The sequence below is a fragment of the Homo sapiens genome, chromosome 2 (genome assembly GCF_000001405.40).
Source record: "Homo sapiens chromosome 2, GRCh38.p14 Primary Assembly".
Taxonomy (NCBI): Eukaryota; Metazoa; Chordata; class Mammalia; order Primates; family Hominidae; genus Homo; species Homo sapiens.
This window is the reverse complement of record NC_000002.12, coordinates 183013217-183026691: the sequence shown is the minus strand read 5'-3', so window position 1 is coordinate 183026691 and position 13475 is coordinate 183013217. Positions and strand designations below refer to the sequence as shown.

Here is a 13475-nt window from a genome sequence, read left to right as displayed (position 1 = left end):
AGGTCCCATGGCTAGTAAGTCATGAAAATTGAAACTCAGCCAGTTTTATTCCAGAATATTTGTTTTTAACCTTTGAGACATACTGCCTCCCAATTAAGTATGTTAGATAAGGTCCACTGAGCAGTGTGGAAAAGGTAAATCAATTCCAGGGAAAGCAGATTATATAGTCCTTTATTTTTTTCTGAATTTTTTTTTTTTTTTTTTAGTTTTTAGTTTTAAGAGACAGAGCTTCACTCTGTGGCTCAGGCTGCGGTACAGTGGTGTGATTACAGCTCTGTAGCCTTGAATTCCTGATCTCAAGTGATCTTCTCCCTCAGCTTCCCAAGTAGCTAGGAGTACAGTTGTGCACCACCACACCCTTATAATTTTTTTTTCTCTTAAAGCCCTGAGCTTACTTCTCTACAAGCTAATTTAAAACATTTTTTTGTAGAGACAGGGTCATGCTATGTTGTCCAGGCTGGTCTCCAACTTCTGGCTCAAGCCCCTTAGCCCCCATTTCTGGAATTACAGGCGTGAGCCACTGGACTTGGACAAAATGAAATTCTGTTCTTTCTGTTTTCAGTGTAAGAAGGAAGAGCTGCTCATTTATATATGTGTATGTGTGTATACACACATACGCACACACATACTTGTTTGGTTATCAACCAACGAAGTTGTTTATATGTTTACATTCTTAAACAGTAAAATTTGTGGTTGTGGGAAATGGATATGGTGATCTGTCATTTTCATTATATGTGATAGTCCCTAATAGAGGAATGGATAGCTAAATTTTTCAATAGTTAGAATATGAAAGACAACACATATGAAAAAACTGAACATAATTTGGAATCACTTTAGGATTTTGCACTACCTCAAGCATGTTTATGACACTTGATTTTTATTATGTGATTATGTAAGGCAATGCTAATCTATAGCTATTTGTGTTTGGGCAAATTTTTAGTATGTGATTATTATTCTTAGCTATTATATTTGGGGAGAAGAATATAAATTGGAAGATTTTAAGAATATTTTAAAGAAATGATAGTCTACTCAAAGAAAGTTGGATATATTTTAATATTTATGATGTTGAAATGGAATTTACATAGTAGTAATGTCAGTCTGGCTAAAGATTATGAAGTTCTAAATTTCTTAAGATTTTGTTTTATTTAATTATATTTGAGAATTAAGAGATTTCTTACTGCATTCCTATTTCCATTTGGAAAATATAGGAATGTTAACATTGATTTTTATACTTTGGCATGGTAGGAAGTTAGGTGATGTTTGAAAAATAGTTACAATTTGAGCTGAAATACAAAAGTCATCCAATAACAATTTATTTTTATTCTCGGCTACCGTTTCTTTTTAAGGTATGTAAAATTTCACTGATGGTTTTGCTCCTGTTTTTATAGCTGCATGTAGTCTTTATTTTCCTTCTTTCTAGTATTATTTTAAGTTGGTTTAGAAAGAGCACCAAGAAACTGACCTGATTGTACACGTACACAGTAGTGTTTATATGAACAGTATAAACTCTATAAATTTATTTTATACTAAAACTCGCTACTTAGAATACCTTTAAAATTGTAGCACCATATAATTCTAATCTTGTTCTGTTATTCATAGTCTGCAGTGCATAAGTTTTCTTCTGAAACGTATATCATAGTTTGACAATCATTGTTTACACGTAATTTTCTCTCTTTTTATTACAATGCTTCCCCAGCAAGGACAAGTTTGGAAGGTTTGCAAAGCTTTTCACCTTCCCTCTGCCCGCTTGCCCGCTTTCAGATCAGTTTCATGTTTCATAACTTCTCTTTCTGCAATCCACAACATAGCCATAGTAAACAATGGAAAACTATAAAATTGCAGTAGTGTATTTCCTCACACATGGCAGACAGATGTAACTTTCCAAAGGACACATCCTTTTCAAAATGCAATAAAAAGAAGTTAAATAGAAATGTTATAATTTTAGTAATTCCCTAAGGAATAACATCTCGCTAGCAAGCAGTTAATTTAATGTCACGTAATAAAACAGGAACAGTATTCAAGATTATATTCTGTATTGTAATAGTTCAGGTAGAAAGTTCTTTCTAATAATAATACCTTACATTTGTATAGTGCCTTACAGTTTACTGCAGAGAATGCTGTACTGCTGATACGGTCAAAACGTAAACATATCCATTTGTTCTGTGCTTATGATATATAGAACAGATGTAGATTCATTGTTTGAAGTGCTGCTGGTATGATGGAAAACAGTGTTGTAACTCAGATGTTCAGAGAATAAGACAACACACCTTAGCACTATAAAGACAATTTTAGCAGCTTCCAGTTCTTTTGAACTAGGGCTCTTGTATTAAAATGTTTAAAGTGAATGAGGAAAACATTTTGGAAAAGACATTTAAACATAAGCTTTTATTTTATAACACTTAGAAAGAAACATGTCTAGTACTCTACTGAATATTTAATTTTGTAATATTTTATTAGCTTCAGATGAATACAATCCTACCTCAAACCAAGAATTTTTTTTCTTTTTCTTTTTTTTAGGTTTGAGCTTTTTCCTTCACTGCTGTTCTGCGCTAACTGCTTCGAAACTTTCCATGCATTTTTTTCAGTAGAAGAACATCTCTGTACTGTCTCCCATTGCATATTTCAGCTGTGACAATCCCTGCACTTTGCCTATTCATTTTATCACCTGCTCACCAAAAACAATAAATATCTCTTTAATTTCTAATTGCAGATTTGCTATTTTTGATTTTAGAAGAAGGGTGCATTTCACTTTTTTTTATTACTGTTGTTTTATAGGCATGTGGAGACCCCAAGGCAAAACCATCCTATCTTATCGACAAAAACCTGGAATCTGCTGTGAAATTCATAGTCAGAAAATTCCCTGCTGTAGAAACCCGCAACAACAATGTAAGTTATCTAAATTTTTCTATTGCTTAATTTTAAGCATCTTTTAGAGAAACAGTGGTCAACACAGTGCTTATAGTAGCTCTTATTTACCTAATTTTTAACATTTTGATATACAGATTATATACCTTAAGGGTTTTTTTGAGACAATATTCTTATGTCCGAGACCGGAAAAAAATAACTCTTAACGACATTGCCACTTTATTACAGCAAAGATCTTAGATTACTATATATTTATTCCCTTTCAAATTGCAACAAGAGTAAGGTAATAGATATGTATATATTCCAAATTCTTGTGTGGATACTTGGGATATTTTTGTTTCTTATAGTCATAAACTTCCTGTTGAAGTTAGTAAATGTCTGCATAGAGCTTCTGTTGTTTTAAGTAGTTAGCTGTATTTAGTTTTAAAATGTGTTTGTTTTTCTAGTATTTTCATAATTGACAATGATTTCTAAAGATTAAATAGTACAAGTAAATGATTGTGTTAGGGTCTTTATTATCTCCATATTACTTTTCATATGGGAAAGTTTTTTCTTAGTATACTGAAGAATGGTCATGTTCAGAATCTTCCTGATATGTTTACATATCTTTATAGTAATTTCTATGAATAACTACTTTTGGGAAATTAGAGTTATTTTTTGCCTCAGTGTGGCATTTTTATATAAATTTTGACTCAGAATCTTTCTGCCTGTCTTCTCTTTTTATTTTTTTCTCTGATATTTTCTTGTTACTATCTTTGCTGCCTCTTTTGCTTTACATACAAATTTAGTTTAGAAATTTCCTCTCACATATGATCTTCATAATTTTGAGAAGCTCTGTTGAAAAGATATATCGTCAGCTGGTCCAAAAATAGTGAGTTATCTCAATTGATTGTTCTGCGTCAGTTACAGATCCAGCTCCTTGTTCTACTCTTTGCCCCCTTCTCACTACTGCACTTGACTGGTTTAAAAATAAAAAGATACATTGTCACCTTTTTGTTTTCTCAAATCATGTATGTTCATTGAAGATTTGTATTTAGCCTGTTGATACTTTTGCTTAAAAACGCTTCCATGTAGAAAGAAAATGCTAGTAAGAACTAATACAAATAAGTCAGATAAAGTGCTTTTTAAGGCATTTTTTTAAACAAAATCAAGTCTGTTTTTGGGGAGTACAGGTTAGTAGAGGTTTCATAAAAGATTGTTTTTGTAGAGACGAGATCTCACTATGTTGTCCAGGCTGGTCTTGAACTCCTGGGCTCAAGGGATCCTTCTGCTTCGACCTCTTAAAGTGCTGGAATTACAGACATGAGCTGCTGTGCGCAGCCAGAAATATTGTTTTATAATATATCAATATATTAAAGCATTATAATTAGTTCCTGATTGCAAAATAGGTGATTCAAAACTTGCACTTCTTAACACTTTTGTTTGTGTGGAGAACTCTTTTTTAGTTACTGACATTAATTGGCTACCTCATCTGAGAGATTATATACTCACTCTAAAAGAGAGATTTTGTTATGAAAATCTGTCTTAAATTAATTTTATATACACTTCTTTTTCTTACAGCTCATAAAATTTCTGACATGAGCTCTTCAGAGAATCTTTGAAGCTTAGTTTACACATGTGTTTGTGTGTAAACTTATATGTGAGAATATGCATCGTTCCTTAATATTAGGTCTTTCCTTAGAATTAGAAGTATCTGGTGAAACAACAGTAAAATTGTCTGTTGTCAGCAGACCAATTAAGCATCTGCTGTTCTTGATATGCCGGGCAAACTGTTTATTATCATCCTGTTGTTTTTTGTTTTTTGATAGTTTTACTTCTCTTTCTAACTTTTGAAGCACAAAATCGATATTTTTAATAATAGTTTTATTGAGGTATAATTCACATACCATATAATTCACCCATTCAAAGTGTACAGTTTCAGTGTTTTTTAAGTACATTCACAGAGTTGTGCATCCAGTACCACAGTTAATTTTAGAACATTTTCATCACCACCCAAAGAAACTTTGTGCCCATTAGCAGTCACCCCTGATTTCCTGCCAACACCCCTGCCCTAAGGCAACCACTGATGTACTTTTTCTGTCTCTGTGCCTATTCTGAAGATTTCATCAGGAATAATGTAATATGTGGTCTTCTGTGACTGGTTTCTGTCATTTAACGTAATATTTTCAAGGTTTATCCAAGTTGTAGCATGTATCAGTATTTTGTTTTTGTTTTAAGAGACAGGGTTTCACTCTGTCACCCAGGGTAGAATGCAGTGGCGCCATCATAGCTCACTGTAACACCGAACTCCTAGACCAAAATGATGTTCTCATCTTAGCCTCCTAAGTAGCTAGGGCCACAGGTGCGCACCACCATGCTCAGCTATTTTTAAAAATTTTTTTTAATTTTTTATCCAGATGTGGTCTGGCTATGTTGCCCAGGTAGGTCTCAAACTCCTGGGCTTGAGCAGTCCTCCCACTTTGACCTCCCAAAGTGCTGAGATTACAGCTGTAAGCTGCTGTGCCCAATCTTCATTTCTTTTTATTGCCAAATAATACTCCGTTGTGTGGATATACCACATTTTATTCATTCATGAGTTGATGGATGTTTGGATTGTTTCTACTTTTTTGCCTATTATGAATAATGTTGCTATAAACATTTATGTGAAAGTTTTTGTATGGATATGTTTTCATTTCTCTTGGCTTTATAAACCTGTGAAAGAATTGCTGGGTGGCGTGGTAATTCTGTGCTTAACCTATAAAATTGATTGTACAATGTTGTTGAATGTTATGACTTACTTGTAGTATTTACTTTGTTTTGTTTGCAAAGCCTGAGTTTTTTCATATTGCCTTTACAACTATTCTTTGTAATGCTACTCTGTTGTTTTTTTTACCTGCTGAAGTACTATGTATTGGGCATATATAAAGTCTTGTGATCTCAGTTTTGATCTGGGTCTGCTAAAATTTTGGTGAGAAGTTCCTAGCTAGCTTGGATCAGGACATGAGAAGTGAGGTTTCAGTTCTATTATTATTTTTTAACTTATTGAATTAGTTGATGGAGCTTAAAGACTGGAAAAGATAGTAGCGTCTGGGATTGATAGGAGGTTGCAGATTTCTGGCTACTAAGTGCACTGTAGAAGTGGTATTGATATCAGTCTTTTCTTTCTTTTTTTCTTATTCTTGTGCTTTGGATTATTATGTAAATATGTGAAACAGAACATGCTTACTTTTTCTTAGGGACCTAGGTTATTACTATTTCTACTCTGATTCATGTCTTACAAGTAACACATGTCCCCCAATTTCAGAAAAGGTACTCATAAAAACAGATTTCTGGTGAAAATGCAATAAATTTTTTTTTCTTTTTTTTCTTTTTTTTTTTTTTTTGGGACACGGTCCTGCTTTATTGCCCAGGCTGGAGTGCAGTGGAGCAATCTCAGCCCACTACAACCTCCACCTCCTGGTCTCAATCAATCCTTCTGCCTCAGCCTCCCAAGTAGTTGGAACTACAGGGGCACAACCACCACACCTGGCTAACTTTTTGTATATTTTGTAGACATGGGGTCTTGCTATGTTGACCAGGCTGGTCTCAAACTTCTGGGCTCAAGTGATCCTCCCAGATTGGCCTCCCAAAGTGCTGGGATTACAGGCTTGAGTCACCATGCCCAGCCTCAAAATATTTATTTTTTGAAGTTTCTAAAATGGATTCTTGCAAAATTCTGCCCTTATCTTGCAGCTAAAAAATTGTTGATTTTTTATTTTGTTTTGTTTGTTTTTTGTTTTTTGTTTTTTTTAATAACTGCCCTCACCTCCATACTTTTTAATCCCTTTAGAATCCTTGAGCACATAGTTATTTGATATGCAACAAAGGAAGGCACTGCTGACAGGTAGCAGGACTGGTACACAACATGACTTCTACAGTGATGATGTTGGACTCTGTTGAGTCATTTTTACTTTCTTGTTTGTGACCAGTTGTAACAAGTTTTATATTTCCGATTCTGGGTTTAGGGAAAATCTAGGACCAAGGAATGAGGTTTTTTCCTTGGGTCATGATGTTGAACTAAATGCCTCATGCTTCAGAGCAAGCTGATTAAATGAAATTCAAAATGAATAAAAGCCATACCAGTTTTATAATTATAGCAGCCACTTGTTATCTAATGTGTGCCAGGTTATGTGTATTAATAGAGTTCCTCATTTAATTTCAGATTAAGCCAAGTATTTTTGAGCTGAAAGATTATCTAATTTATCTGTAATATAAATGCTTTCATTATTTTGAAAGTGTAACTCTCAAATGAAATTTGTTTCTCGTAGGTTTCTTAAGGGTACCTGGAGGGGAATCTGTTATTTTCCTGGATGAAGAAAATAGTAGAAACTCCTTTCTTATTTTATTAACACATACAAATTATTTGGCTCAGGAAACCTAAAAGGCAATGTAAGCAAATGTTCAGGTGTATGTTAAAACTTTTCTAATTTTTTTTCCAATATTTTTTAAACTTTTTTTTTCTCTTTCCTATATTGCATTACACCTAAAAGGTAGTTTGTGTTTTTTAAAACAGTAAAAATATTATCTGGCACAATAGTGTTATTATGGAATTAGCCTATTGCACATTTTAATGTAAAATTTTGGATTTGATATCCAAATTAATGAGGAAATGATAAAAATTACTATCCTATGTATGCTGAATTAGATCTTGAAGTCTTTAAGAATAGGGACATTGCTGGCGAGTAGAGTGCCACAGGAGTGATATAGGGATTCTAGACTAGGACACAGGCTGTTGTTGAAATAATTTGAAAATTATGTTTTCCTAAGTTATAGGAATCTTTTATGTTATAGATATTATTTATCCCCTCTCCCAAGGAACATAGAATTATAAGATGTTATGTAAAACATAATTTTTTATTGAAGTAGCTTATAAAGTCACTCTAGGAAAGACAAAGCAACTCTAAGTGTAATAATCAGCAGTAAAGTTAGTTCAGAGGCGAAGCAATAGAGCCTTTTAAAAATGTTTTATCCCTAGTGCCTGACACATAAGAGGCACTAAATAAATGTCCCATTAATGAATGGAACTATTTGATACACTCTAACATAACCAGCTTTCACTTGTATTCAAACATTGCTTTAGATTTATGTCAGGACCTGAACTTATCCACACTTTTTAAAAGTTATGGAGTTAATGTTAGCTAAAAAAAGATTGTACTTTTTAGTAGAACTATTCAGATATATCTTATTAATGGTATTATTGAAAGTCACCCAGAAATAGAGCAAGAGTCTCAACTCCTAAAAACATAAATGTGTTTTAGGGGTGGGGTGGTGGAATTGGTGATAGGTGTAGGGAGGCCCTTGACACATGCATGCACTGTGGTTTGGTAAGGACTTAGAAGGAAACAGTAGGCATATTTAACTCCTTCTTAACTTGTCTTTAAGAGGGCATTCCTTGTTTTGTCATGACTCCTATTAAGATAGTAACATACTGGTTAAGAGGATGGACTCTGGATTCAGTAAACCAGAATTTGAGTTCTGGTCTTTCCACTTATTAGCTGGATAATTTTGGGCAAATTATTTAACATCTTAAGGTATCATTGTTCTTTTTTGTTTTGTTTTTTTGAGACGGAGTCTTGCTCTGTTGCCCAGGCTGGAGTGCAATGGCATAATCTTGGCTCACTGCAACCTCTGCCTCCCGAATTCAAGCGATTCTCCTGCCTCAGCTTCCCGAGTAGCTGGGATTACAGGTGCCTGCCACCACGCCCGCCTAATTTTCTATTTTTAGTAGAGACGGGTTTCACCATGCTGGCCAGGCTGGTCTCAAACTCCTGACCTCAGGCAATCCGTCCGCCCCAGCCTCCCAAAGTGCTGGATTACAGGCATGAGCCACCGCACCCGGCCAGGTATCTTTATTCTTATTTCTAAAATGGTGATAATACCAATCTCAAGGAGTAGTTCATTGTTTCCTAAAGCACTTAGTACAGTGTGTGACAAATTGCTCTTGAAGAATGGAAGCTGTTAACTTAACATTTACCTCTTTGACTTTTTGGACTACTTTGCTGGCTTTTCTTCTGGGTACCCTTTAAATGTGGGTTTTCCTAAATGACTTCTCCCCCCATAGTGTATATGTGTGAAAACACTTACTGCTGTGGCTTCAACTAAGTACATATACGATCTCCTATATTCTGTGCTCTAGATCAGGGTCCCCAACCCCCAGGCCACAGACAGGTACCAGTCCGTGGCCTGTTAGGAACCCGGCTGCCCAGCAGGAGATGAGTGGTAGTACCCTAAGCTTCATCTGTATTTACAGCCACTCCCCATCACTCACATTACTGCCTGAGCTCTTTCTCCTGTCATATTAGCAGTGGCATTAGATTCTCATAGGAGTGAAAACCCTATTGTGAACTGTGCACACGAGGGATCTAGGTTGCGAGCTCTTGAGGAGAATCTAATGCCTGATGATCTGTCACCGTCTCCCATCACCCCCAGATGGGACCATGAAATTGCAGGAAAGCAAGCTCAGGGCTTCCACTGCTTCTACATTATGATAAGTTGTGTAATTATTTCATTACATATTATAATGTAATAATAGAAATAAAGTGCTCAATAAATGTAATGTGCTTTAGTCACCCCAAACCACCCTCCACCCCTCCGCCCCAGTACATGGAAAAATTGTCTTCCATGAAACTGGTCCCTGGTGCTAAAAAGGTTGGGGACTGCTGCTCTAGAGCTGAATTCTAGCTACCCCTTTGGACAGCTCCACAAGCTAAACAGAAAACTTTTTATCCAATATGGAACATGTGATTATCCTACCTTTTTTTCTCTTTTGTGTTTCCCCCCTTGAGCTGTCACCATCCACTTAGTTATTTAAACTACAACCTTCAGAATCCCTTTTGACTTGTAAAAAATATCAAACTGGTCATTTACGACTTGTCCGGGTTCCCCACTATAATGTCATTTGAATTTATCCCCTTCAGGTCTACATTTCCTGCCGGGACAAATGCCATGTTAATCCAAACATTGATTTGTATGCCATCCAATCTCTCCTACTTTCGCCCTCCCTTCCTCCCTCCCTCCAACCTCCACCAGGGGAAGCAGAACAAAACAAAAAACAATCACTTTCTCTGTGGTACCCCACATCTGCATCTTCCTGGACCACGCACTCATCTTTGAATCCCTCTTGACTGGCATGTAGTAGGCCAACAAATAAGAGTTTGGTTTAGAAGGAATCACCTTACTGTAAAATAATGTAACTGGGAGTTGTAACAGCATGCTGGGAGTTGTAACAGCATCATGAATAAATATATATGCCCTAATGGAAACTCAAAGGAATATTTGGTCCCGACCAATTAAACATTGCCAGGATTTAAGGAATTTTGATACAATGAGAATTAACTGAAATGTCAATGTTCTTTTAAAAAGATATCATCAGTATTGAGTTGTTAATGACTCTTAGACATGTAAAAGTCTTTAATTCTATCTTGAACAAACAATAAATAAAAGAACTCCTCAGGAGATGCAAGTAAGCCTTGCTTTGATATATTTGGAAAGTAATTGAAATAGGTCAAATAGTGGCAGGGAATTGCATCAGCACTGGTGACCTACCTAAAGTGATTTAAATTTTTTGTTTTTTATTTTTGCCCAAAGAACATGAATACATGATAATGAATAGTCCAGAAGAATTTAGGATGAAAAGTGAATATCTCCTAGTTTACTTTTTCCCACCCTAGTCATATTCCTCAGAGGGAACTTCTATTTTTAGAATTTCTACAGGTTACTGCTAGAACTATAACAAATATGCTTATTCCCTTATAACTTCAGTTACCAACTTTAGACAGTGTCTCTCCTATGCAACAAAAGATGAGGATTTAGCTTGCTCAATTTACTTCCCCTTACTTCCCCTCTCAAGCCTTTTTCCCAGTGTTTTTTGTTAGTATTTTTGGATCATTGATTACTTCCTTTTTTAACTTTAATATAGTTTTTTTTTTTTATATCCTCACCCTTGGTTATTTATCCATTTGTCCTTTTCTTCTCATGTTGTCAAAATTGTTAATGCTTTTTTTTTTGGTTCTGTAATTATACAGTGTTCTGATACTATATTTATTATATGTTGGTTGAAAAAAATTAAATATTAATAAAGGCCTAAGTGCTTGGTTTGGATTTCTTTATTCCATTGTCACACTTTGGGCTGTAAGATGAATAATATATTTAGCCTTAAAGAGAAAAGGAATCTCTCTTCCTAAATTCTGTCATTTACTTAAAATTATTTTACAGTTTCATAGTTATACCATGACTTTCTGAAATTATAGTTATAAGCCTTTTTACTTTCTTTAAATTTATTTGGCCTTATAATCATGTCACCTTTTTATAATTTTTTTTTTTTCCTGGAGCCTACTTTCCTCTAACCTTCTGTCTTCTAACATCAATCTAGATAATTTGTAAAAGCCTGCTGTGTAGCTTTCATTATGGGTTATAGCTTTGTCTTCAGTGTGATGATTTTACCTGCGCTTTTCCACTGAATTTTCATGAGTTTGAGAATCCCCTAAAGTTGCATATAGAATTTGTGTGTGAATGAATTATTAAGCTTTTTTTCATATTCTCAAGGGTGGTTCTTATGATCCCAAAACACATCTATTTTAAAACATCTCCTTTCTTATCCTTTTTATATAATTACCTGTGGTTTCAGAATATTATTTTGTGCATCTTATGTGCTATATATTTTTGTCATACTAAACTATATTCATAACCTCTTCAACTCAAAGAGACTTTCTGCTTTCCTGGAAATGAGGCTGCCAATGAGCATTACACTGGGGTTCCATAGCATAGCCTTCAAGTATATACATTTCTGGCATCTGTAGTCATTTTTCCATACTCTTCAAATTTCCTGAAGTTATGTCTTGCCTGTAAGTGATAGTTTTTCAGCTTTCAAACAGTTGTTGGTCCATTTGGCTGCAGTGGTGATTTTGATGCCCTTCATAGTAGCAGAGGACATTATCACTACCTAATCACCTATTGACCTTTAACTTTGGTTTCCTTGGTCATTTCTTTGGGGCCTTTAGCCACTTTTAACCTTGTACCTTTTAAGTACCTTTAGCATGTTATCTTCTCATTGTTTCTTCATGGCAGGTTCAGTACTACCTTTTGTCAGATCTAAAGTTAATTGCCAAGATTGAAAATAACACAGTAAAAGCTACAATGGAATAAATAACACATGTTGCAGAGTACTTACTTTCTTTTATTCTTCGTAGTACTCATCTTGGCCAAGAATATTTTAAATAGGTACATTAATGGTCCCTGGCCAAGAGTATGCAGGCTAGTATACTATGTTAGTTCCCATTGTCTAGTGTAGGATAGAATGTAGAACCTAAGGAAAATATATTTGCTTGCTTTATTTTTTTAAAGGAGTGTTGTATTTGGGGAAAGTATGTTTATACTTTCATTGAACAAATGGCCATGTTTCTTTTGCCTCGACTTTTTTTTACTATCTGGAATAGTCTCTCTTTCCCATGTTCTTTCACTAGGCTAGCTTGTCTTTCAGGTCTGTGCTTAAATGCCACCATTCAGAGAAGCTTTCCCTGACCTTTCCAAATTAGTTTAAGTTCTGCATATGTATGTTTCCATCACATTCTCCACTGATTATTCATTTATTTATTTAAATCCTTTATTGAGCGCCTTCTATGAGCCAAGTTCTGTTCTGGAAGAGAGGATTCCAGCAGTGAACAAACAGAAGTCTCTGTTCTTACAGAGCTTATATTATGTTGAACAGAAATAAATAATGAACAAATAAGAATATAATACCAGGTAAAGAGTTCTAGGAAGAACAAAGCAGGGTAAAAGCATAAGACTAATGCCTGGCAGATGTAATTTACTTAGGGTGACCAGGAAAGGCCTTACTGAGAAGAAAGCATTAGGGCAGAGATTTGAAGATATGAGGGAGTGAGTTTAGCTAGGGGAGGAGCATTCTGTGCTGAAGGAACCGCAGCTCCAAAGGCTCAGGTGGGTGCATGCCTGGCATGTTCAGGAACAAGGAGGGCATTATGAGCAGAGTAGATGATTGAAGGGGACGGTGGTAGGACATGAAGTGCCAGTGGTTGTAATGAATAGGCAGATCATATAGGGCTTTCTGGACCATAGTGAGGACCTTAGCTAATTACCCTGAGTGTGTTGAGATGCCATAGGAGGGGAGTAGTAGGGGAATGAAGTGATATGACTGTGATCACTATGGCTACTCGGTAGAGAATAGTCTGCAGGAGAGCAAAGGTGAAAATAGGGAGAATAGTTAGGAAATTTGCCATCATTGAGATGAGAGCTGATGGTGGCTTGGACTAGGGTGGTTGAGGTGAGAAATGTTCAGATTCTGGATATATTTTTGAAGACAGAACCTATAGTATTTGCTGATGAATTGGGTGTTGGGTGTATGGACAGTGAGAAATAAGACTTTAAGGTTTTTGGCCTGAACTCATGTCAAGATATAATGGGGTGAGAGAACAGGAGAAATAGGTTTGGGGTAGTGCAGTGGGAGTAGTACAGTGAATGCAGTGGGGGAAGTACTCAGTAGCTCAATATTAGACGTGTTAAGTTTGAGAGGCTTACTGGAAATCTGAGTGGAGATATCAAATAGCCAATTGTTTATATGAATGTAGATCTCAGGT

General features: G+C 35.5%; 1 protein-coding gene across 4 annotated transcripts in view; it reads left to right on the top strand.

The window, feature by feature from the left end:
- The window catches only part of NCKAP1 (NCK associated protein 1), a 129343-nt gene that overhangs the window by 11766 nt on the left and 104102 nt on the right, over positions 1–13475 (top strand). For 2 of the 4 annotated variants that reach the window (NM_001437267.1, NM_205842.3), the window contains exons 2-3: positions 1697–1714; positions 2776–2886. In NM_001437267.1, coding sequence (NP_001424196.1) covers positions 1697–1714; positions 2776–2886 — 129 coding nt within the window. The remainder of the gene's footprint in view (positions 1–1696; positions 1715–2775; positions 2887–13475) is intronic. The other 2 variants (NM_001437266.1, NM_013436.5) reach the window with 1 other exon arrangement.